General features: G+C 43.7%; 2 protein-coding genes and 1 long non-coding RNA gene across 12 annotated transcripts in view, besides 7 other annotated features; 1 reads left to right on the plus strand and 2 right to left on the minus strand.

The window, feature by feature from the left end:
* Positions 1-4,787, minus strand: part of TCEA1 (transcription elongation factor A1) — a 55,893-nt gene extending 51,106 nt beyond the window's left edge. For all 4 annotated transcript variants that reach the window (NR_109902.2, NR_109901.2, NM_201437.3 and 1 more), the window contains exon 1: positions 4,402-4,787. Coding sequence is in view for 2 of the 4 variants with exons in the window: in NM_201437.3 (NP_958845.1) it covers positions 4,402-4,464 (63 nt within the window). In the remaining 2 variants the exon portion in view is untranslated. The remainder of the gene's footprint in view (positions 1-4,401) is intronic.
* LYPLA1-TCEA1 (LYPLA1-TCEA1 readthrough) overlaps positions 1-24,929 on the minus strand; it is a 135,392-nt gene that overhangs the window by 51,106 nt on the left and 59,357 nt on the right. The window lies entirely within an intron of this gene.
* Positions 4,236-4,405: a silencer, noted in NCBI's record as "silent region_19198". NCBI's record gives its function as "represses an Ori minimal core promoter by ATAC-STARR-seq in GM12878 lymphoblastoid cells {active_cell/tissue: GM12878}" and the evidence as "EXISTENCE:reporter gene assay evidence [ECO:0000049][PMID:35858748]".
* Positions 4,372-24,929, plus strand: part of LOC133039971 (Uncharacterized) — a 28,744-nt gene continuing 8,186 nt past the window's right edge. The window contains exons 1-3 of one of the 4 annotated variants that reach the window (NR_189617.1): positions 4,372-4,721; positions 8,226-8,370; positions 20,739-20,791. This is a non-coding gene — a long non-coding RNA (Uncharacterized LOC133039971). Of the gene's footprint in view, positions 4,722-8,225; positions 8,371-20,738; positions 20,792-24,560; positions 24,859-24,929 lie in introns of all 4 variants that reach the window. The other 3 variants (NR_189618.1, NR_189619.1, NR_189620.1) reach the window with 3 other exon arrangements.
* Positions 4,526-5,319: an enhancer, noted in NCBI's record as "H3K27ac-H3K4me1 hESC enhancer chr8:54934747-54935540 (GRCh37/hg19 assembly coordinates)". NCBI's record gives its function as "activates a minimal SCP1, AML or CMV promoter by ChIP-STARR-seq in naive H9 embryonic stem cells {active_cell/tissue: H9 hESC(naive)}" and the evidence as "EXISTENCE:reporter gene assay evidence [ECO:0000049][PMID:30033119]".
* Positions 4,576-4,725: an enhancer, noted in NCBI's record as "active region_27369". NCBI's record gives its function as "activates an Ori minimal core promoter by ATAC-STARR-seq in GM12878 lymphoblastoid cells {active_cell/tissue: GM12878}" and the evidence as "EXISTENCE:reporter gene assay evidence [ECO:0000049][PMID:35858748]".
* Positions 5,320-6,111: an enhancer, noted in NCBI's record as "H3K27ac-H3K4me1 hESC enhancer chr8:54935541-54936332 (GRCh37/hg19 assembly coordinates)". NCBI's record gives its function as "activates a minimal SCP1, AML or CMV promoter by ChIP-STARR-seq in primed H9 embryonic stem cells {active_cell/tissue: H9 hESC(primed)}" and the evidence as "EXISTENCE:reporter gene assay evidence [ECO:0000049][PMID:30033119]".
* Positions 5,533-5,840: a silencer, noted in NCBI's record as "fragment chr8:54935754-54936061 (GRCh37/hg19 assembly coordinates)". NCBI's record gives its function as "represses an EF-1alpha promoter that drives an FKBP-Casp9 reporter gene in an ReSE screen in K562 erythroleukemia cells {active_cell/tissue: K562}" and the evidence as "EXISTENCE:reporter gene assay evidence [ECO:0000049][PMID:32094911]".
* Positions 12,593-13,323: an enhancer, noted in NCBI's record as "H3K27ac-H3K4me1 hESC enhancer chr8:54942814-54943544 (GRCh37/hg19 assembly coordinates)". NCBI's record gives its function as "activates a minimal SCP1, AML or CMV promoter by ChIP-STARR-seq in naive H9 embryonic stem cells {active_cell/tissue: H9 hESC(naive)}" and the evidence as "EXISTENCE:reporter gene assay evidence [ECO:0000049][PMID:30033119]".
* Positions 13,324-14,055: an enhancer, noted in NCBI's record as "H3K27ac-H3K4me1 hESC enhancer chr8:54943545-54944276 (GRCh37/hg19 assembly coordinates)". NCBI's record gives its function as "activates a minimal SCP1, AML or CMV promoter by ChIP-STARR-seq in naive H9 embryonic stem cells {active_cell/tissue: H9 hESC(naive)}" and the evidence as "EXISTENCE:reporter gene assay evidence [ECO:0000049][PMID:30033119]".

A 24,929-nucleotide genomic window follows, 5' to 3' on the forward strand; every position in this document is an offset into this window, starting at 1 on the left:
TGTAATCCCAGCAATTTGGGAGGCCGAGGCAGGTGAATCACTTGAGGTCAGGATGTGGAGACCAGCCTGAGAAAAATGGTAAAATCCCATCTCTACTAAAAATACAAAATTAGTTGGGTGTGGTGGCACGCACTTGTAGTCCCAGCTACTCGGGAAGCTGAGGTGGGAGAGCTGCTTAAACCCAGGAGGCGGAGGTTGCAGTGAGCCAAGATCATGCCACCACACTCCAGCCTGAGTGACATGACTGCATGAGTTATACTACTACAAAAGTTATACTACTTGACTGCATGCGGGTAGGGAGGGGGGATAGTGTGAGCACCACAACCCTTGCATTGTTCAAGAGTCAACTACACTTTAAGAATGAATTTAATTCTATTTCTCGATAAAGCTGTTATTAAAAATTGTATAGTCATTCTAAATTTTGAATTATGCTAATTAATCTAACTCTGATATAGATATCAAAGTTTTGTTGCAGTTGTTATTTTAACTGAGGTACTTGGAAATGTAAATCAATATTTCAGGTATCCCAGCTCCTACGAAATTCTAACATCTAATTTCAATTTCTCTCCCTGCAATTTAATTCCACTCAACCTTGAGCCTTCAATGAAATAAATAAATAAACCTCAGCACTACCCACAAAATCTCTCCATGAACTTCAAAACTTTATGTCCTTGCCTCACTCCTCCTTCTATAATCTAAATGAATCCTTTACAAAGAAAGGCAACCTCAGATTGTTTTTTAGGCCTTATTACATCCTTTAGGCCCACAATCCTACACTAGAAGCATTTTATATTCACTTAATCCTTACTAAATTATCTCCAGTTTACCATGACGAGAAACATTTTAGTGATGACAAAGAACTTGCCTAAAATCACACAGCTAAAGTTCAGAAAAGTTCAGAAAAGCCAGGATTTGAACCCACATTAGCAGTCAGACTTGGTTACTGACACCGAATCAAAGTGACAAGAAAACAGCTTAAGCAGAAAACAGCTAATACCTAAAAATTTCGAACTACTTTCTGTGGTTCACTGTGGCTTGGTCATGTGCACTTGAGATCAAGTACACATGTGGGACAACATCTTGGGTAGAACTAGGGTCAGGATATTGATCTAGGTAACTAGGGAAACACACCTGCCCCAAAACAGCAAGTTCATACTCTTACTTCCTGATTTTGTATTCACTTAATTGTATCCATGCATGGTTCAAGAGCAGATGCAAGGGTCTTCTAGAGAGACACTGTAGCTTAAGAGAGGAGTACTAGCTTTGGAGCAAAACAGATTTAGATTCACATCTTCACTTGGCCATTCACTAGCTATTTGGCTTAAGACTATTCTAAATACTTAGCATCCTCATTTTCAGAATGAGGATAATACTCATCTTGCAAAGTTGCCTGAGGAATAAATGGGATAAGGTGGGTAAGTATTTAGCAGAATACCTGGCTCAGAGTAATAGCTCAATAAATGGTAAGCTGTTTTTAGTTAAGTGTGACACCTATGGTTTTAGTAAAACAAAATTATTCAGGTAAAGCAGCAGCATGTTAAAATATTTTTTTAAATGATATCTAAATTTGCACTTAAATTTGTCAATTCTGATGACAACTATTACTCTTCAAAGTTAACTTTTTCAGGCTGGGCGCAGTGGCTCACATCTGTAATCCCAGCACTCTGGGAGGCCAGGACGGGCAGATCACCTGAGATCAGGAGTTCAAGACCAGCCTGGCCAATACGTTGAAATCCCATCTCTACTAAAAATACGAAAATTAGCCAGGCATGGTGGTGCACACCTGTAGTCCCAGCTTCTAGGGAGGCTGAGGCAAGAGAATCGCTTGAACTGGGGAGGCGGAGGTTGCAGTGAGCCGAGATTGCACCACTGCACTCTAGCCTGGGTAACAGAGTGACACTGTCTCAAAAAAAAAAAAAAAAAGTTAACTTTTTCATAATATAAAACATTAAAAAAGCTGAGAGAAAAATCTGAAAACTACCGAAAAAAAGAGAAACACATATACCATAATTCTACAACCCCTAAAACACATTTTGTTGAATTACTGAACACTTAAAAAGCCATCTGTAGGCTGATGATGCAGTTGGGGAAAAGAGGAGTGTCATTCTGACCATTTCTCTTTCTCTGTATTTCATCAGCCTGTTTGAATTTCCAGAGGACAGGCAGGGAAAATGCTGGGGAAAACAAAAGTACAAGAGCCAGTCAGTTTTACCTTTCTTTTTGGGAGGCAAGTTTTCATACTGGAAAAGTTTTGAACTACCTGAAAACTTAGATTTGAGAAGAAAACTTAGATTTGAGGATTATTTGTGGAGTTTATTCTCATTCTCTTCCAGACTCATTACAAAAGATCTGAAAATTTGTTGACGATTTGAGAACTGCAGATAAATATGAATTTATCTTCTCCACACCTGCCCACTAAAAAATTACTTAGAAACATTATTACAAGGAAAGAAACAAAATCAAGCAAACATCTAATGCATTAGATGATTAAAGGATACATATTACAGCCTAAGTTGGAGAGAACATTACCCAACAAATGGCTTTTTTTCCCTGGGAGCTTCTACTGTGCAAGTCTGGGGATCTCCAGACCAGAGAAAAATCTTCCAGTTTAAACAAAATAACGAAAATGTTCCAATAACCAGATAACCTATCAAATAACCAGAATTTGAAGTGGGAAATGAAGGGCCATATCAATGGGGAGGAAAAATGGCACTGGTAATATCTAGAACAGAAAATAAACAGGAAATACTTTAAAAGGCCAAAATTTGCAAATACAGATTAACAGGGTATGAAATGAAATACGAGGCAATGCACCTGTTAAAGGAAAAAGGGGAACAGAGGATGTTTGAAGTCTTACGTATTTAGTGTTAACACTAATTCCTGATCTAGCTGTCATGTGGAAAGCATGCTGTCCAGAAGAAAACCTGGGTCCTGGCTTATTCCAAACTACACAGTACTTAATTTAAGTAGTAGTACTTAATCTCTCTCAGTGTCTTAATCTGTAAAATGGATACCCTTTATGTACTCACAGCTCTGTGTGAGTCACAAAAGAATTTTGAGCAGATGCTTTTTAACTCCAAAGTGCTGTACAAATCAGAGCATCCCTTTTCTCTTCACATTAGTTTGACATGGAATTTACTTCATAGATGGAAGAAAAATTATTTCAGGTACACTGATGATGAAAATGTGCCGAACGTGGTTAAACAAATTTAGGTGAGGACAATTATATAAGTTTACCTGAGAGGCCAGGCGCAGTGGCCTCACGCCTGTAATCCCAGCACTTTGGGAGGCTGAGGTGGGCGGATCACCTGAGGTCAGGAGTTCGAGACCAGCCTGGTTAAGATGGTGAAACCCCGTTTCTACTAAAAATACAAAAAAATAGCCAGGCGTGGTGGCGCACGTCTGTAATCCCAGCTACTCGGGAGGCTGAGGCAGGAGAATCACTTGAACCCGAGAGGCGGAGGTTGCAGTGAGCCGAGATCAAGCCATTGCACTCCAGCTTGTGCAACAAGAGTTAAACTCCGTCTCGAAAAAATATGTTTAGCTAAGAACAGATGAGTCTGAAGCAAGGGACTGAAAGTGCCACACAAATGGGCAAGCTGTAGAAACTGGTCGTATGAGGATTTCTTACAAACCACAAAAGCATATGCTTACATGAATATTCATCAATAACAAAAAAAATGCCACCAGTATTAACTGTAAACCACTTAGAAAATACCCAACAATATAATTTGTCCAAATCCCTCTACCAGCATTCCGGTGAGTGTGCGTGCTGTAGTCCTAACTCTTCTGTACATTACGACAGGACAAAACCCGCTTTTTATAAAACGTTTAGCAACTCGCCAAGAAACTGGCACACTTTACCTTTTTAATCGCTAAGCAAACATGTAGCACAGTTGAGATAACCAGGCGGACGTTCAGCCCTCTTCAAAAATAAGACACAGAAGTTTTACATTTTACCAGCCCGATGTCTAATACCGATCACAAGCCTCTATTTGATGCTCTTTCTAGATGTTGGCCACGGATCACGGAAGACTCCATTCTTTCAAGTTCTGAGGACTTTCTACGCTTCAATTCCTAAGCTAAATTGCCAAGGTTTTACTAGCACGAAAGTTTAAAGTCAACGGAGAGCGTGCCCTAATCCCTAAATCGATTAGGTTTATTACACGGCACCAGCGAGCAGGGACTGGAAATACAAGAGCGAGCGGGTCCTAACGCAGGTTGCCGCGGGACCCGACGCCCCGGGCCCGGACACCCTCCCCGGGGACGCGGGCGCGGCGGGCCCGGCTCCCAGACGGGAGGCTGCAGGGGGAGGGGAGGGAGAAGGAGGGAGGGGGCGGCCCCCTCGGGCCGGACCGCGGCCCGGCCTCCCTCCCGGCCCGCGCCGCTCGCCGCGCTCACCGCGTTCTTCTTCTGCACCATCTTGTCCATCTTCTTGGCAAAGCGGACCACTTCGTCCTCCATGGCTCCGGCAGGTCTTCTCCGCGCCCACCCCGCTGGCAAGGGGAAGTGGGCGAAGCTGGAGCGGAAGACACAGCAGGAGCGACCCCCGGCGCGCAGCAACCCCCACCACCGCAGGCCCGGGCCTAGGCCCCCTTCCTTACGAACGAAGCCCGCGGCGGCGGCGGCGGCGGCGGCGGCTCCGGCTCCTCCTCCCCAGGCAGCGACAATCGAACACCGCGCGCGACGTGCAGGCGCTACCAACTGACTGCAGATCGCTGGTGAGGGGCGAGCCCATGTTCCCGCCAGGCGGGCGTCGGGCTAGTGGGCAGGCGTGGCTTCCGGCTAGAGGGTCGTGGAAGGCGCCCGGTTTTGCTGCGCGTTCACCTCCGGTCCCGCCCCCTCACGGGGCGGGTTTTCGGCCCCCTATTGCATCGGGACATCCCGGAGTTTTAGAACTCGCGGAGGCCCAAGTATCTCGAAACGGGGGCAGATTCCGAGCATGGAACTTTGGCAGGTTTTAAAGTCTGTGGGAAGCCAAGCACTTTCTCCATAGGAGACTGCTACGGGGAAAAATGGAACCCGTGTCCTCTAAGTTAGGTTACGGAGTTACTCGTTTTAAGAGTTCCTTTTTTTTTGAGACGGAGCCTCGTTCTGTCGCCTGGCTGGAGTACAGTGGCGCGATCTCCACTCACTGCAAGCTCCCCCCCCCGGGTTCAAGCGATTCTCCTGCTTTAGTTTCCCGAGTAGCTGGGACTACAGGCGCCCGCCACCACGCCCTGCTAATTTTTTGTATTTTTAGTAGAGACAGGGTTTCACCATGTTGGCCAGGATGGTTTTGATCTCTTGACCTAGTGATCCGCCCGCCTCGGCCTCCCAAAGTGCTGCGATTACAGACCTGAGCCACTGCACCCGGCTAAGCGTTCCTTTTTTTAAAAAAAATCGGCCGGGCGCGGTGGCTCATGCCTGTAATCCCAGCACTTTGGGAGGCCGAGGCGGGCGGATCAACTGAGGTGAGGAGTTCGAGACCAGCCTGACCAACATGGAGAAACATCGTCACTACTAAAAATACAAAATTAGCCGGGCGTCATGGCCTGTGATCCCAGCCACTCGGGAGGCTGAGGCAGGAGAATCGTTTGAACCCGGGAGGCGGAAGTTGCGGTGAGCCGAGACTGCCATTGCATTCTAGCCTGGGCGACAAGAGCGAAACTCCGTCTCAAAAAAAATAAAAAATAAATAAAGGTGAAATCGTTCGTGAGCTCCTGGAGTACTAAGAACCAGTCTTGGGCATGGCATTTTGAATAGTTGAAGAACAGTTGACGGAAACCTTCTGGTCAGAAATTACACAAGGCATCCCACCAGCTTCTGAGGATCAGAGAGGAAGGTGACTTAAGTTGTGACAGGGTTCATAGTGGAGAATGCAGGCTCCTCCAAAAAGTCTTTCCCCACTTAAACCCTTCACGACCAACTCATGCTATTTGCAGGTATAACTCCCACACCACGTAACTATCATTCATCAAAATACACCGCCTAATAATGTTCTTTCTATACTGAGATGACAGGTTTTTCCTGGTTATGACTCACTCATTTGGGGGAGAAGTATTGGGATCGTTTCCCTATTTTGTTTCATTTTTAAATTATCTTTTTATTATTGATTTCCAGCTTAAATTGTAGTATTTGTTGAGATTTATTTTGTCAATTTTTTTTTTTTTTTGACACGGAGTTTTGCTCTTATTGACCAGGCTGGAGTGCAGTGGTGCCATCTCGGCTGGCTCACTGCAACCTCCACCTCCCAGGTTCAAGCGATTTTCCTGCCTCAGTCTCCTGAGTAGCTGGGACTACAGGCGCCCACCAGCACACCCGGCTAATTTTTTGTGTTTTTAGTAGAGACAAAGTTTCACCATGTTGGCCAGGCCGATCTCGAACTCCTGGCCTCAGGTGATCCGCCCACCTCGGCCTTCCAAAGTGCTGGGATTACAGGCGTGAGCCACTGCGCCCGGCCTATCTCGTCAATTTTTATGCATATCTATGTGTTCTAAAAAAGAACACACAGAAAAAAATTGTTTTCTACAGAAAATGTTGCAATATTTACATCCCTGTTTGCTGTCTGCTTCATGCCTCAATTAATGAGTATGTAAAAATTTCCCTTTATAATGTGGATTTGTACATTTATTGTAATAATTCTGTCATTTTTCTTTTTTCCCAAAGAATCAGTTGATGTTTTTCTTTAAAATACACATAACACAAAATTTATCCATTTAACTACTTTTCTTCTTTTTTCATGCTACCTTGTCTAAGACCATTTTTAACTATTTTTTTAGATTTTAATTCATTTTATTTTATTTTTTATTTTTTTTTAGACGGAGTCTCGGCCTATCACCCAGGCTGGAGTGCAGTGGCGTGATCTCGGCTCACTGCAACCTTTGCCTCCCAGGTTCAGGCAATTCTCCTGCCTCAGCCTCCCAAGTAGCTAGGATTACAGGTGCCCACCACCACGCCCTGGTAATTTTTGTATTTTTAGTAGAGATGGGATTTTACTATGTTAGGCAGGGTGTTCTCAAACTCCTGACTTCAGGTGATCTGCCCACCTCGGCCTCCCAAAGTGCTGGGATTGCAGGTGTGAGCCACCTCACCTGGCCTGTTTTAGCTATTTTAAAGTGTAAAGGCCTGGTGTGTGCATACCCAGTGTGCATGGGATACAGCAAAGGCAACACTCAGATGGAAATGTATAGCTGTAGATACCTATGTTTAAACATAAAGATCTCTGGCTGGGCGCAGTGGCTCACACCTGTAATCCCAACACTTTGGGAGGCCAAGGTGGGCGGATCACCTGAAGTCAGGAGTTCGAGAACAGCCTGGCCAACATAGTGAAACCCCGTCTCTACTAAAAATACAAAAATTAGCTGGTCCTGGTGGTGGCCGCCTGTGATCCCAGCTACTCGGGAGGCTGAGGCAGGAGAATCGCTTAAACCCAGGAGGTAGAGGTTGCAGTGAGCTGAGATGGCGCCACTGCACTCCAGCCTGGGTGACAGAGCAAGGTTCCGTCTCAAACATAAATAAATAAGTAAATATAAAATAAAAAAGTGTACAATTCAGTGGCATTTCTAATGATAACAATATAGTGCCACCATCACCACTCGATAGTTCCCAAAAGTTTTCCAAAAATGTTCATCACCTCAAAAAGAAACCCAGTATCAATTAAGCAGTCACTCCTGATTCCTTTCTCCCCTCAACCCTTGGCAACCACTAATTGGCTGCCTCTATACTCTTGAATATTCTGAACATTTTATATATTTAATAAATAGAATCCTAGAATATGTGACCTTTTCTGACTGGCTTCTTTCACTTAGCATGTTTTCAAGGTTCACCTGTGTTGTAGCCGTGTCAGTACTTCATTCCTTTTTATGGCTGAATAATATGCATTTCCTATAGATAACATTTTTAAAATTCATTCATCACATGATGGACATAAGCATTGTTTCCACCCACCTTTCACTACTCCACATTTTCACTCTTGTGAATAGTGCAGCTATGAACATGCCTGTACAAAGTTTTGTGGGAACACCTGTTTTCAGTTCTTTTGGGTGTGAACCTAGGAGTAGAATTGTTGGGTTTCATGGTAATTCTACATTTAAATTCGAGGAACTGTCCATCTGTTTTCCACAGCAACTGCAACATTTTTACATACCCATCGGAAACGTCATTGGGCTCGAACTTCTCTGTATCTTTGTCAACAATTGTTGTTGTCCTTTATTTTTATTTTTATTATTTCTTTTTTGATACAGTGTTTCGCTCTTATTGCCCAGGCTGGAGTGCAATAGCGTGACCTCAGCTCACTGGAACCTCGACCTCCCAGATTCAAGTGATTCTCCTGCCTCAGCCTCCGGAGTAGCTGGGATTACAGGTGCCTGCCACCATGCCTAGCGAATGGTTTGTATTTTTAGTAGAGACTGGGTTTCACCATGTTGGCCAGACTGGTCTTGAACTCCTGACCTCAGGTGATCTGCCCACCTTGGCCTCCCAAAGTGCTGAGATTACAGGAGTGACACACTGTGCCCAGCCTGTTTAGTTCATTTTTAGAATTCTAATTATCTGATGAGGTATGAAATGGTATCTCATTGTGTCTTTGATTGGCATTTTCCTAATATGTTAAGCATGTTTTCATGTGCTTGTTGGCCATTTCTGTGGTTTCTTTTTTTTTTTTTTTTGAGATGGGGTCTCACTAACAGAGTGACAACAGTCCAGGCTGGATTACAGTGGCACAATCTCAGCTCACTGTAGCCTCCACCTCCCGGATTCAAGCAATTCTCCCACCTCAGCCTCCTAAGTAGCTGGGATTCCTGGGGAGCACCAACACCCCCGGCTAATTTTCGCACTTTTAGCAGAGATGGGGCTTCACCATGTTGGCCAGGCTGGTCTGGAACTCCTGACCTCAGGTGATCCACCCACGTCGGCCTCTCAAAGTGCTGGGATTACAAGTATGAGCCACCTCCCCCGGCCTTCTATGGTTTCTTTAGAGAAATGTCTATTCTAGTCTTTTGCCCAATTTTTAACTGAGTTGTGTTTATGTTGTTAAGTTGTAAACGTTCTTATATAATTCTGGACTCTAGAGCCTTGAGATAAATATGCTTTTCAATCATTGTCTCCCTTCCCATTTTGTGGGTTATCTTTTCAGTCTTTTTTTTTTTTTTTTTTTGAGACAGGGTCTCACAGTCGCCCAAGCTGAGTCCTGTGGCGTGATCACAGCTCATTGCAGCCTCCACTTTTTGGGTTCAAGCAAATCTCTTGCCTCTGCCTCCTGAGTAGCTGGGACTACAGGCACACACCACCATGCCCAGCTACTTCTGGATTATTTGTAGAGAGAGGGTCTTACTATGTTGCCCCGGCTGGTCTCAAACTCCTGAACTCAAGCAATCCTCTCGCCTCGGCCTTCCAAAGTGCTGGGATTCCAGATGTAGGCCACCTCGCCCAGCCTCTTTTCAGTCTCTTGATATTGACCTTTCATGCACAAACTTTATATTTTACCAAAGTCCAATTCATATATTGCTTTTGTTACTTGTGCTTTTGGTGTCAAATCTCAGAAAGAGTTGCAAATCCAAGGTCATGAAGATTGACCATTGCCATTTTAACAACATTAAGTCTATCAATTCATTACAACGGGATATCTTTCCATTTATTTAGATCTATTTTAATTTCTTTAAGCAATATAACATAATTTTCAGTGTGCAACTCTTGGCTAAATTCACCTCATTGGCTAAAATTATTCTTGGTATTTTATTTTGTTATTTATTTATATTATATTTTATTAATTTTTATTTTATTGAGACAGGGTTTTGCTCTGTCACTCAGGTGGAGTGCAGTGGCACAATCATACCTCACTACAGCCTCAATGTCTTGGGCTCAAGAGATCCTCCCACCTTGGCCTCCCAAAGTGCTGGGATTACAGGGATGAGCCATGGTTCCCTGCCCTAATCTTTTCTTTTGTCTCTAATTAATCTTTATTATTTCCTTCTGACATTTTGCAGTTTACTTTTCTTCTCTTTTTCCAATTCCTTAAGCCATAAAGTTAGGTAATTAATGTCAGATTTTTCTTCTTTTTTTTTTTTTGAGACGGAGTTTCACTCTTGTTGCCCAGGCTGGAGTGCAATGGCGTGATCTCTGCTCACTGCAACCTCCACCTCCCGGGTTCAAGCAATTCTCCTGCCTCAGCCTCCCAAGTAGCTGGGATTATAGGCACGTGCCACCACGTCCAGCTAATTTTGTATTTTTAGTAGAGACGGGGTTTCTCCATGTTGGTCAGGCTGGTCTCGAACTCCCGACCTCAGGTGATCCACCCGCCTCAGCCTCTCAAAGTGCTGGGATTACAGCCATGAGCCACTGCACCTGGCGGAGATTATTCTTTTTGAGCTATAAATTTCCCTCTGAGCACTGTTTTCACTGCATTTCATAAATTTTGGTATATCGTAGCTTTGTTTTCATTTGTCTCAAAATATTGTTCTATTTTCTGATTTCTTTTTGAAGTTGTGTGAATGTATTATTTGAACATAATTGTGAAATTACTTTTTCCTTCTGTTATTTATATCTAGCTTCATCACATTATAGTTAAAGAAATACTTTGTATGATTATGATTTTTAAAAATTCTTTGGCCGGGCATGGTGGCTCACACCTGTGATCCCAGCATTTTGGAAGGCTGAGGTGGGAGGATTGCTTGAGCTCAGGAGTTCAAGATCAAACACCATAGGGAGGCAACATAGTGAGATCTCACCTCTACTAAAAATTAAAAAAAAAAAAAAAATAGCCAAGCATGGTGGCATGTACCTGTACTCCCAGCTACTGGGGAGGCTGAGGTGGGAGGATCACTTGAGTCTGGGAGACAGAGGTTGCAGTGAGCTATGATTGTGCCACTACACTCCAGCCTGGACGACAGAGCGAGATCCCTGTCTCAAAATAAATAAAGAAATAAAAACAAGGCCGGGCGCTGTGGCTCATGCCTGTAATCCCAGCACTTTGGGAGGCCAAGACGGGTGGATCACTTGAGATCAGGAGTTCGAGACCAGCCTGGACAACATGGTGAAACTCTGTCTCTACTAAAAATACTAAAAATTAGCCAGTCGTGGTGGTGGGCGCCTGTAATCCCAGCTACTCAGGAGGCTGAGGCAGTAGAATCGCTTGAACCCGGGAGGCGGAGGTTGCAGTGAGCCAAGATCGCGCCATTGCTCTCCAGCCTGGGCAACAAGAGTGAGACTCTGTCTCAAGAAAAAATAAATAAATAAATAAATAAATAATGAATAAAAACAAAAATTTATTGAGGCCAGGTGCAGTGGCTCATGCCTGTAATCCCAACAGTTTGGGAGGCTGAGGCGAGCAGATCACTTGAGGTCAGGAGTTTGAGACCAGCCTGGCCAACCAACATAGCAAAACCCTGTCTCTACTAATACAAAAATTAGCCACGCATGGTGGCGCGCCTGTAGTCCCAGCTAGTTGGGAGGCTAAGACATGAGGATCATCTAACCCAGGGGGTGGAGTTTGCACTGAGTTGAGAACCCACCACTGCACTCCAGCCTGGGTGACAGAGCAAGACTCTGCCAAAAAATTGAAAATAAAAAAATTGAGACATTTAATTTGTCTAACAAATGACCAATTCTGGAGAATGTTCCATGTGCACTTTGGAAAAATATGCATTCTTATGGGTGGAGTGTACTGTATGTATTATGTCTAGTTGGTTTATAATGTTGTTTAAGTTCTGTATTTCCTACTGATCCTCTAACTGTTCTATCCATTAATAAAAGTCGTGGGGTTGTTTTTTTGTTGTTGTTTTTTTTTTTTGAGATGGAGTTTTGCTCTTGTTGCCCAGGCTGGAGTGCAATGGCGTGATCTTGGCTCACTGCAACCTCCGCCTCCCGGGTTCAAGCGATTCTCCTGCCTCAGCTTCCCAAGCAGCTGGGATTACAGGCCAACACACCCGGCTAATTTTGTATTTTTAGTAGAGACAGGGTTTCTCCATGTTGGTCAGGCTGGTCTCGAACTCCCAACCTCAGGTGATCTACCTGCTTCGGCCTCCCAAAGTGCTGGGATTACAGGCATGAGCCACCACGCCTGGCCAAAGGGGTGTATTTTTAAGTTTCTAATTATTATTATAGAACCACCTATTTCACCCTTAAACTATGTCAGTTCTTGCTTCATATATGTGGGGGCTCTGTTGTAAAGTATGGACATGTTTATGATTGTTATATCTTCTTGATGGTTTAACCCTTTTATCCATATATAATGTTCTTTTGTAGCAAATTGTAGCAAATTTTGACTTGCACTTTTTTTTTTATTATTTGAGACAGAGTCTCGCTCTGTCGCCCGGGCTGGAGTGCAGTGGTGCGATCTCGGCTCACTGCAAGCTCCGCCTCCCGGGTTCACGCCATTCTCCTGCCTCAGCCTCCCCAGTAGCTGGGACTACAGGTGCCCGCCACCACACCTGGCTAATTTTTTTTGTATTTTTAGTTGAGACGGGGTTTCACCATGTTAGCCGGGATGGTCACAATCTCCTGACCTTGTGATCCGCCCACCTCAGCCTCCCAAAGTGCTGGGATTACAGGCGTGAGCCGCCGTGCCCAGCCTACTTGCACTCTATTTTTATACTAGTATATCCACCTCAGCTCTCTTTTAGTTACTGTTTTCATGGAACACCTTTTTCCATCCTTTTACATTCAATATATTTGTCTTGGATCTAAAATGAGTCTCTTCAAGACATATAGTTGTATCTCTTTTTTAAATTTTTATTTTACCAATCTCTTTCAGTTGCATACTTTAATCCTATTAGGAGCTGAATTTGCCATTTAAAACACAAGTGCATAGAAGCATAAGTTATAAATCCATGTTAATGGGCATACATTGTGTAAAGATTTCCTTTGTAACAACAACTACATGAAGATGGAAGGATGAAATTGAATAGGAACACAGCATTTGTATACTGCTGAAGCTAAGTTGGGATTATTTAAACTAGATTCTTTTTTATTTCCTTTCTTTTTTTTTTTTTTTTTTTTTGAGATGGAGTTTTGCTCCTGTCACCCAGGCTGGAGTGCAATGGCGCAGTCTCAGCTCACTGCAACCTCTGCCTTCCGGGTTCAAGCGATTCTCCTGCCATAGCCTCCCGAGTAGCTGGGATTACAGGCGCCCACCACCATGCTCGGCTAATTTTTGTACTTTTAGTAGAGGTGGGGTTTCGCCATGTTGGCCAGGTTGGTCTCAAACTTCTGACCCCTAGTGATCCACCTGCCCTGGCCTCTCAAAGTGCTAGAATTACAGACATGAGCCACTGCACCCGGCCTATTTAAACTAGATTCTTAAGGCTCTGGGTTCACAGGAGGGAGCATATGGGTCTGCCACATGCTGTGGGGGCCATGAACCCCCACCAACTGGCTGCAGCAGAGGCTTCTCCCCACTTCTGGCTGCCCCAGGCCTGCTGCCTCCTACTCCACATCCATTGGAGCCCTCTCAGTTTTGGTCACTTGTCTAAGGGCACCCACGGGTATCCAGCCAAGGTCATCAAGAAAGGAGTCTTGCTCGTTGCCCAGGCTGGAGTGCAGTGGTTATTCCCAGGTGTGGTTGTGCACTATAGCCTCAAAATCCAGGTCTCAAACCACCTGTGGTATCCAGCCAAAGTCATCGAAAAAGAAGTCTTGCTGCATTGCCCAGGCTGGAGTGCAGTGGTTATTCACAGGTGTGATTGTGCACTATAGCCTCAAAATCCAAGTCTTGAGCCACCCTCCTTCCTTGGAGTAGCTGTGACTACAGGTGCATGCCACCATGCTAATTTTTGTATTTTTGTCATGTTGCCCAGGCTGGTCTCAGACTTCGGGCTCAAGTAAAGGATAGTTTTCTTGGATACAGAATTGTTCATTGACATGTATTTTTTCTTTCAGCATTTTAAATAGTATCATCCCACTACTTCCTAGCTTCTGTGGTTTCTGCTGCAAAATTGGCTGTTAATCTCATTGAAACACTTGGATGTGATGAGTTGTTTTGCTCTTGCTGCTATCAGTAATCTTTTTGTCTTTCTACAGTTAGATTATAATTGGATTGGTGTGTGTAGGGGTGGGTTGCCCCTACACACCTGTGGGTGTTTCTCGTAAGGTGGGACGAGAGATTTGGAAAAGAAAAAGACACAGAGACAAAGTATAGAGAAAGAAATAAGGGGACCCGGGGAACCAGCGTTCAGCATATGGAGGATCCCGCCAGCCTCTGAGTTCCCTTAGTATTTATTGATCATCTGTGGGTGTTTCTCAAAGAGGGGGATGTGTCAGGGTCACAAGACAATTGTGGGGAGAGGGTCAGCAGACAAACACGTGAACAAAGGTCTTTGCATCATAGACAATGTAAAGGATTAAGTGCTGTGCTTTTAGATATGCATACACATAAACATCTCAATGCTTTACAAAGCAGTATTGCTGCCCGCAGGTCCCACCTCCAGCCCTAAGGCGGTTTTTCCCTATCTCAGTAGATGGAGCATACAATCGGGTTTTATACCGAGACATTCCATTGCCCAGGGACAGGCAGGAGACAGATGCCTTCCTCTTGTCTCAACTGCAAGAGGCATTCCTTCCTCTTTTACTAATCCTCCTCAGCACAGACCCTTTACGGGTGTCGGGCTGGGGGACGGTCAGGTCTTTCCCTTCCCACGAGGCCATATTTCAGACTATCACATGGGGAGAAACCTTGGACAATACCTGGCTTTCCTAGGCAGAGGTCCCTGCGGCCTTCCGCAGTTTTTGTGTCCCTGGGTACTTGAGATTAGGGAGTGGTGATGACTCTTAAGGAGCATGCTGCCTTCAAGCATCTGTTTAACAAAGCACATCCTGCACCGCCCTTAATCCATTCAACTCTGAGTTGACACAGCACATGTTTCAGAGAGCACGGGGTTGGGGGTAAGGTTATAGATTAACAGAATCTCAAGGCAGAAGAATTTTTCTTAGTACATAACAAAATGGAGTCTCCTATGTCTACTTCTTTCTACACAGACACAGTAACAATCTGATCTCTCTCGCTTTTCCCCACAGTGTGAATATATTCAAGTTTATTCTACTTGGAGTTCATTGAGCTTCTTTGATGTGTAGATTTATGTCGTTCATCAAAGTCAGGGATTTTTTTTCAAAAGTCTGGGTCTCGGCCGGGCATGGTGGCTCACGCCTGTAATCCCAGCACTTTGGGAGGCTGAGGTAGGAGGATCACCTAAGGTCAGGAGCTGAAGGCCAGCCTGGCCAACGTGGCGAAACCCCATCTCCACAAAAATACCAAAATTAGCTGGGCATGATGGCAGGTGCCTGTAATTCCAGCTACTCGGGAGGCTGAGGCAGGAGAATCACTTGAACCAGGGAGTCGGAGGTTGCAGTGAGCTGAGATCACACTACTGCACTCCAGTCTGGCAACGGAGCAAGACTACGTCTCAAAAAAAAAAAAAAAAAAAGTTATTTGGCTCATGGTTCTGCAGACTATACAAGCAGCACGGTGGGTAGGCATGGTGGCTCACACCTGTAATCCCAGCACTTTGGGAGGCTGAAGCAGGCAGATAGCTTGAGCTCAGGAGTTCAAGACCAGCCCAAACAACATGGGGAAACCCCATCTCTACAGAAAACACAAAATTAGCCAGGCATTGTGGTGAGCACCTGTAGTCCCAGCTACTTGGAAGGCTGAGATGGGAAGATGGCTTGAGTCTGGGAGGCAGAGGTTGCAGTGAGCTGAGATCATGTCACTGCACTCCAGCCTGAGCAATAGAGCAAGAGCCTGTCTCAAGAAAAAAATGCAAAAAAAAAAAAAAAAAAAAAAAAAAAAGCACGGTGCAAGCATCATGAGGGCCTCAGGAAACTTTTATTTATGGCAGAAGGGAGAAGGAGAGTTGGCATGTCACATGGTGAGAGAGGGAACAAGCAGGGCAGGGAGGAAGTGCCAGGCTCTTTAAACAACTAGCTCTTGCATGAACTAATAAAGCCAGAATTCACTCATTACTGTGAGGAGGGAACGAAGCCATTATTCATGAGGGATCTGCCCCCATGACTCAAACACCTCCCATGAGACCCTACAACCAACATTGGGGATCACATTTCAACATAAGATTTGGAGAGGAAAACATCCAAACTATATCAGATGGGGTCTCAATATACTGCCCAGGCTGGTCTCAAACTCTTGGCCTCAAGTGATCCTCCTGCCTCAGCCTTTCATTGCTAGCGTTATAGACACGAGCTATTGCACCCAGCTAAATTTGGGGTTTGGCCATTATTTCTTCAAATATTCCTTTTGTTCCTCTTTTTTCTCTCCTTCTGGAATTCCATTATGTGTATGTTGCTACTCTAAGAAACCCACAGGTTTCTTAGGCTATGTTCATTTTTATTTTCTTTTTCCTTTCTATTCCTCAGACTGGATAATTTCAATTGTACTATCTTGAAGTCTGCTGATTCTTCTGCCTGCTCAAACCTGCTGCGCAATTCTAGTGAATTTTTAATTTTAATTATTGTTATCTTCAGTTCTAGATATGTATTTGGTTCCTTTTTATAATTTTTATTTATTGATTGATGTTCTCTAGTTGTTGAGATATTGTCCTCCTGCTTTAATTTTTTTCTCCATGGTTTCCTTTAGCTTTTTGAGGTATATTTAAGACAGCTTAATAAGGTCTTTGCTCAGTAAGTCCAATATCTGAGCTTCCTCAAGGACAGTGTTTCTGTTCATTTCTTTTTTTCTCCCTATGAATGGGCCAGGCTTTGTTTCTTTGTATGCCTCATAATTTTTGCTGAAAATTGAACATTTTGAAGATTATAATGTAACTTTTAAAATCAGAATTGTTGCCGCTTATTGTTAGAGTTATGTGAGTTTTTTAGTTTATATGTTTAATGACATATCTAAACTCTGTCATGTGTAGTCACTAAAGTATCTGTTTTGTTAGCTCAGTGTCTACCTAATGTTTTGACAGATACTTCATTTTTTTAAACACCTGGAGCAAGAAAAAAAATCTCCCAGACTTTGCAGTAGAGCTCTTTGTGTTGGGCACACTTGTAATATTCAGCTGGTCACTTTCCAACTCTGCCTTAACCTTCATGACCTGCTGGCCCAGGACTTCAAGGTCAGCCAGAGGTGAGAGCTTAGGAATTTCTCAAATCTTTTTTTTTTTTTTTTTTTTTTTTTTTTGAGAGGGAGTCTCTCTGTCGCCCAGACTGGAATCTGCAGTGGTGGAATCTTGGCTCACTGCAACCGCTGCCTCCTGGGTTCAAGCAATTCTCCTGCCTCAGCCTCCCAAGTAGTTGGGATTACAGGCTGGGGCCACCATGCCTGGCTAACTTTTGTATTTTTTAGTAGAGATGGGGTTTCGCCATGTTGGCCAGGCTGGTCTTGAACTCCTGACCTCAAGTGATCCGCCCACCTCGGCCTCCTAAAATACTGGGATTACAGGTGTGAGCCACCACAACCAGCCACTCAGCCACTTTTCTGAACCTGCACCCTGCCCTGTTCATACACATGGTCTGGATATCCAGAAATACGTGAAAGCACTTGAAAACCTTTATTTCTCCAAAGCATCTCACTCCTCAGCCTTTCCTCCCAGGCTTTTTGGTGTGTCTATTGTTTGCTCCAACTTATATCATTTGCCCTAAGTGGTAGTCAGTGGTTCATTTGACTTTAAATATTTTTGACCAACACCCTCTGTGTTGGTCAACTCTCCACCCTCAGAGAGTTCTGAGCTATTTCTTCACCCTGAGAGAGTTCTGAGTTAGAGCAAATAAAGGCAGTCTTTGTATTAGTCCTTCAAAAAGCCACCTGAGAGACAACCACGATTCTTTGAAAACAAGATTGACTTTGGTTCCTCCGATATCTGGAACCCACGGGAATGTGAACTGTTATCTTCAACAGCATCACCATGACTGGGAGGGATAATTAAGCATAAGTAAAAATGACACAAAGCCTTCCTACCAGGCATTAAAGTTTTTTTTTTAACAGCTTTATTTAGATAAAATTAGGTTCATCCATGTGGTAGCTTTTTAAATTTAATTTTATTTTTTTTGGAGACTGGAGTTTCACTCTTCTCGCCTAGGCTGGAGTACAATGGTGTGATCTCAGCTCACTGCAACCTCCACCTCCCAGGTTCAAGCAATTCTCCTGCCTCAGTCTCCGAGTAGCTGGGATTACAGGCGTGCACCACCACACCTGGCTAATTTTGGTATTATTAGTAGAGACAGGGTTTCACATGTTGGCCAGGCTGGTCTCGAACTCTGACCTCAGGTGATCCACCTGCCTCTGCCTCCCAAAGAGCTGGGATTACAGGTGTGAGTGACCGCACTTGGCCAGCATTCTTTTTTATTACTGAATACTATTTTATGGCTATGCCACGTCTTATTTATCCACTTGTTGGTTATGAACATCAGGGTGATTTCTGCATTGTGGCTCCTATGAATAATGCTTCTATGAATATTCGTGTACAAGTTTTTGTGTGGACGTATATTTGTTGCCTTAAAGTCTATTTCACCTCATACAAATATAGCCAAGCCAGCTTACTTTGGGTAGTATTTGTTTATAATTTCCCATCCCTTTCAAACTTTCTGTGCCCTATGTGTTTGATATTGCTTGTAATGAAAATACAGCTTTCGGCCAGGTGTGGTGGCTCACACCTGTAATCTCAGCACTTGGGTGGCTGAGGTGGGAGGATGTCTTGAGGCCAAGAGTTAGAGACCAGCCTGGGTGACATACTAAAACCCTTTCTATGAAACAATAAAAATAAATCTTAAAAATTAGCTGGGCATGGTGGTGCACACCTGTAGTCCTGGTTACTTGGGAGGCAGAGGCAGGAGGATTGCCTCAGCCCAGTTCAAGGCTGCAGTGAGCTGTGATCACATCACTACACTCTAGGCTGGGTAACAGAGCGAGACCCTGTCTCAAAAACCAAAATGTGTGCGTGTGTGTGTGTGTAGCTTTAGATCATTCTTTTGTTCAGCCTAGCTTCTGTCATTTACTGACAAATTTAGTCCATCACAGTGGAAATAACTGTTATTTTTGGATTTGTATGTATCATAGTATGAAATGTCTTATTCTATGTTTTATATGCTTTATTTCTCCTTTCTCATCTTTTTTTTTTTTAATGGAACCTTAAAAATTTCATCCCCTCAGCTGGGCGCAGTGGCTCACGCTTATAATCACAGCTCTTTGGGAGGCTGAGGCAGGCAGATCACGAGGTCAGGAGTTTGAGACCAGCCTGGCCAACACAGTGAAACCCTGTCTCTACTAAAAATACAAAAATTAGTTGGGAGTGGTGGCAGGCGCCTGTAATCCCAGCTACTCAGGAGGCTGAGGCAGGAGAATCGCTTGAACCTGGGAGGTGGAGGTTGCAGTGAGCCGAGATCGCACCACTGCACTCCAGTCTGGGTGACAGAGCTAGACTCCATCTCAAAATAAATAAATAAATAAAAACATCCCCATCCCCACTACTTTGGAATTTACATCTATTTATTCTCGTTTTTTTAGTTAGCCTTACACTGTGAACACTTAGCTTTAAAAGGAATAACTATTTCTTATCTACTCACACAAAATGGAAGAACCACAGAATATTTCAACTTCTATCAGCCCTCCCATTGTACATTTTAAAAAACTTTTTATCTTGAAATATTTTATAGATTCACAGGGAATTGTCAAGATAAGCATAGAGGTCCTGTGTCCCCTTCCATCCAGTTTCCTCCAATGGTTACATCATACATATAGTACAATATCACAACCATGACATTGACATCGTTTAAAAATATGTATAGTCCACTATCATTTTATCATGTGTAGATTCATATAACTGCCACTGCAATCAAATATAGAACTATTCTGTCACCACAAAGATCATTGTCATGCTATTCCCTTGTAGTCACATCTACTACCCTCTCCCACACCATCTCTAGCCCCTGGCAACTAATCCATTTTCCATCTCTGTAATTTAGTTATTTTGAAAAAGTTATATACAGTGCATGACATTTGGAGACTGGCTTTTTTCACTCAGAATAAGGCCCTTCGGGTGGGATGTGGTGGCTCACGCCCGTAATCCCAGCACTTTGGAAGGCCAACGTGGGAGTATTGCCTGAAGCCAGGGGCTTGAGATCAGACTGGGCAACAAAGCCAGACCCCACCTCTATAAAAAACAATTTAAAAATTAGCCAGGCATGTGGCAGGTGCCTGTAGTCCCAGCTACTCTGGAGGCTGAGGTGGGAGGATCACTTGAGCCCAGGAGTTCGAGGCTGCACTGGGCCATGATCATGCCACTGTGCTCGCTCTGGCCTGGATGCCAGAGTGAGACCCCATCTCTTAAATAAAAGAAAGAAAAAAGAAGGAAAAAAACAGAATAATGCCCTTGAGATTCATCTAAGTCATTATGTACATCGTTCTTGTTTATTCCTAAATACTATTCCATAGTATTGATGCACCAGTTTGTTTAACCATTCTTCAGCCATAGGACTTTTTGCTTGTTTCTAGTTTTTGGCTGTGTTTGTAATTATTTGTAATTGTTACAAATAATCCTGTACAGGTTTTTGTGTAGATATGTTTTTGTTTCCCTGGAATAAATGCCCAAGAATGCAATTATGAAGTTATATCAGCATATGTCAGGTTTTAAATAAATTGCCAAACTTTTTCAAAGTGGCCGTACCATTTTACATTCCCACCAGCAAGGTATGAAAGATTCCATTTCTCTGCATCCTCATCAGCATTTGGCATTGTCACTGTTTTTATTTTAGATATTCTCTAATATATATATAGTGATATTTTATTGTGATTTTACTTTTTTTTTTTGAGACAGGATCTCACTTTGTCATCCAGGCTGGAGTGCAGTGGCAGCGATCATAACTCACTGTAAGTAATCTCCGCCTCCCGGGCTCAAGCGATTCTCCCAGCTCAGCCTTCACAGTAGCTGGGAACACAGGCATGCGACACCACGGCTGGGTAATTTTTGTAGTTTTTTTTGTAGAGGCGGGGTTTCACCATGTTGCCCTGGCTGGGCTCAAACTCCTAGATTCAAACAATCCACCCCCCTCTCAGCCTCCCAAAGTTCTGAGTGGTGGGATTACAGGCATGGTGGGCCACGATGTCCTGCCTGTGGTTTTACGTTTCATTTCCTTAATGGCTTAGTGATGTTGGTCATCTTTTCATGTGCTTGCCATTCTTATAGCTTCCTCAGCAAAATATCTCTTCATGTCTTTTGCCTATTTTCTAATTGGATTTTTTTTGTAACTGTTGAATTTTGAGAGCTCTTTACATATTCTAAATGCTAGTCATTTGTCAGGATATGTAGTTTACAAATATTTCCTCCCCGTCTCAGCTGTCTTCTCATCCTCTTAACAGGGTCTTTGAAAACAGCAAAGGTTTTTAATTTCAGTGAAGTCCAATTCATTTTTTTTTCTTGCAAGGAGTACATTTTTGCTGTCATATTTGGAAACATTTCAAGCCCTGGGTCCCCAAGATTTCTGTTTTCTTATCTAAGTTTTAGAGCTTTACATTTGACATTTAAATCTATGATCCATTTTAGGCTAGTTTCTACGTAAGATTTAGATGGAGATTTTTTCGTGTGTTTTTTTTTCTTTTGCCTATGGATAGCCAATTGCTCCAGCACAATTTCTGAAAAGACTATCCTTCCTCTACTGAACTGTTTCTTTGTTTTTTGTTTTGAGACAGAGTCTCGCTGTGTCACCCAGGCTGGAGTGTAGTGGTGCGGTTTCAGCTCACTGCAAACTCCGCTTCCCAGGTTCAAGCGATTCTCTTGCCTCAGCCTCCTGAGTAGCTGGGATTACAGGCGCCCGCCACCACGCCCGGCTAATATTTTGTGGTTTTAGTAGAGACGGGGTTTCACTATGTTGGCCAGGCTGGTGTCAAACTCCTGACCTCATGATCCACCTGCCTCAGCCTCCCAAAGCGCTGGGATTACAGGCGTGAACCACCTCACCCTGCCATATTGAACTGTTTTGTAACTTTTTCAAATCAGTTGGCTGCACTTGTGTGAGGAGACTATTTCTGTGTTATTTTGTTCTGTTCATCTATGTGTCTTTCTGCCAATACCTTTTTGATTACTGTCTCAATTTAGTAAATCTTGAAATCTGGTACAGAGACCACCCCCCTCCATGTTCTTTTTCTAATTATTATTATTTTTTAATATAAGAGATGGGATCTCATTATGTTGCCCCAGCTGGTCTGAACTCCTGGACTCAAGCAACCTCTCACCTTAGCCTCCCAAAGTGATGGGATTACACGTGTGAGCCATCACGCCTGGGCCTTCTTTTTTAACATTAAAGTTTTGTAGTTCCTTTGCCTTTCTATATGTTTTAGAATCATCTTGTGTATAACTACAACAATTTTGCTGGGGTTCTGATAGGAATTGCATTAAATTAGTATATCAGTGTGGACAGAATAAACATCTTTACTATACTGAACCTTCTAATCTGTGAACATGGTATATGTATCCATTTATACAGATCTTTTTTGATGTCTTTCATCATCATTTTGTAGTTTTCTGCCTCCAAATCCTATAAAAAGATTTTTTAGATTTATCCCAAAGTACTATTTTTGTTTGTTTTTTGAGACAGTCTCACTCTTGTCGCCTAGGCTGGAGTGCAGTGGCGTGATCTTCGCTCACTGCAACCTCTGCCTCCCGGGTTCAAGTGATTCTCCTGTCTCAGCCTCCCAAGTAGCTGGGATTACAGGTGCCCACCACTATGCCCGGCTAATTTTTGTATTTTTAGTAGACACGGGGTTTCACCATGTGGGCCAGGCAGGTCTCAAACTCCTGACCTCAGGTGATCCCCCGGCCTTGGCCTCCCAAAGTGCTGGGATTACAGGCATGAGCCACTGCGCCTAGCCCAAAGTACTATTTTTTAGCAAGAGAAAATGGTATTGCATTTAAAATTTTGATTTCCATGTGCTCACTGCTAGTATATAAAATGCACTTGATTTTTGCGTGTGTTTTATCTTTATCCAGTATTTTAGCCCCCAGATTAGCATTATTAGTTTCACACAGTCATCAGTGCTTGTTTAGTTACCCAAATGCTTATCACTGTTTCCAGTTCTCTGAATCGCTTTTCCTCTCATTCACTTTTCTTTTTCTCATAGAACAAACACCTTTAAAAAGTTCTGCCAGTAGTCATTTTCTTATAAACTATGTATTTAAAAATGGTTTTCTTTTGCCTTCAGTCAGAAAATTCCACATTGACATCTCCTCAACTTTTATATTAGGTTGGTGCAAAAGTAATTGAGGTTTTTGCCATTTTTTTAAAAAATGTGACAGCTTAAGTAGTTTCCTTTTCTCTGGTTGCCATTAAGATCTTTTTCTGGCCTGGAGTGGTGGATTATGCCTCTAATCCCAGGGTTTTAGGAGGCCACAACGGGAGGATGGTTTGAGGCCAGAGCCAGGAGTTCAAGACCAGCCTGGGCAACACAGTGAGACCCCATGTTTCTATAAAAATTTTAAAATTAGCTGGGCGTGGTGGCACATGCCTGTAGTCCCAGCTACTTGGAAGGCTGAGGTGGGAGGATTCCTTGAGCTTCTAAAATTCGAGGCTACGGTGAGCTATGATCATACCACTGCACTGCCAGCAAGAGAGCAAGACCCCATCTCTAAAGAAAACAAATTCTGGTCGGGTGCGGTGGCTCACGCCTGTAATCCCAGCACTTTGGGAGGCCAAGGCAGGTGGATCATGAGGTCAGGAGATCGAGACCATCCTGGCTAACACAGTGAAACCGTCTCTACTAAAAATACAAAAAATTAGCCGGGCGTTGTGGCGGGCACCTGTAGTCCCAGCTACTCGGGAGGCTGAGGCAGAAGAAGAATGGCGTGAACCCGGGAGGCGGAGCTTGCAGTGAGCCAAGATCGCGCCACTGCACTCCAGCCTGGGCGACAGAGCGAGACTCCGTCTCAAAAAAAAAAAAAGAAAACAAATTCTTTTTCTATGGTATTCTGTTTTGCTCTTCACCATCACGTGTCTCAGTGGAGATTTCACTTACTTATCCTGTTAGTAACTCATTTTTTGCTTCCTGAATTTGGGGTTTCTTACCTTTCTTGAAGTCCGGAAAAATATCAGCCATTTTATTTTATTTTTATTTTATTTTTTTTGAGACAGAGTCTCACTCTGTCGCCCAAGCTGGAGTGCAGTGGCGCGATCTCAGCTCACTGCAGCCTCTGCCTCCTGGGGTCAAGCGATTCTTCTGCCTCAGCCTCCCGAGTGGTTGGGACTACAGGCAGGCGCCACCACGCCCAGCTAATTTTTGTATTTTTAGTAGAGATGGGGTTTCACCATATTGGCTAAGATAGTCTCGAACTCCTGACCTCGTGATCTGCCCACCTCGGCCTCCCAAAGTGCTGGAATTACAGGCGTGACCCACCACACCCTGCAAACATCAGCCATTTTATAGTTCTCTCCATTCTGTTCTCTCCTTCTGCAACTTCTATTAAAGCCTGTATTGGACCTTTTAAAGCCTGTATTGGACCTTTTTACTTTATTTTTGTAGTCTCCTACCCTCCCTTGTTTGCTGCGCTTCCTTGAGTAAATTCCTCAGAACTACCTTTAAAATCTGTTGTCTCTAATATAGTTTAACTCATCCATTGAATCTTTTTTCTTTTTCCTTTTTTTTACAGAGTCTCATTTGGTTGCCCAGGCTGGAGTGCAGTGGCACAATCTTGGCTTACTGCAACCTCTGCCCCCAGGATTCATGTGATTCTCCTGCCTCAGCCTCCTGAGTAGCTGAGATTACCAGCGCATGCCACCACGCCCAGCTAATTTTTGTATTTTTAGTAGAGATGGGGTTTCACCATATTGGCCAAGATAGTCTCGAACTCCTGACCTCATGATCTGCCCACCTCGGTCTCCTAAAGTGCTGGGATTACAGGCGTGAGCCACCGCACCTGGCCTTTGAATCGTGTTTATAGGTCACAGGTTAACACAATTTAAAATCTAAAGCGTGGGTACAGGGTTTCAGTTTGGAAAGATGAAGTTCTTGAGATGAA

The sequence above is a fragment of the Homo sapiens genome, chromosome 8 (genome assembly GCF_000001405.40).
Source record: "Homo sapiens chromosome 8, GRCh38.p14 Primary Assembly".
NCBI lineage: Eukaryota > Metazoa > Chordata > Mammalia > Primates > Hominidae > Homo > Homo sapiens.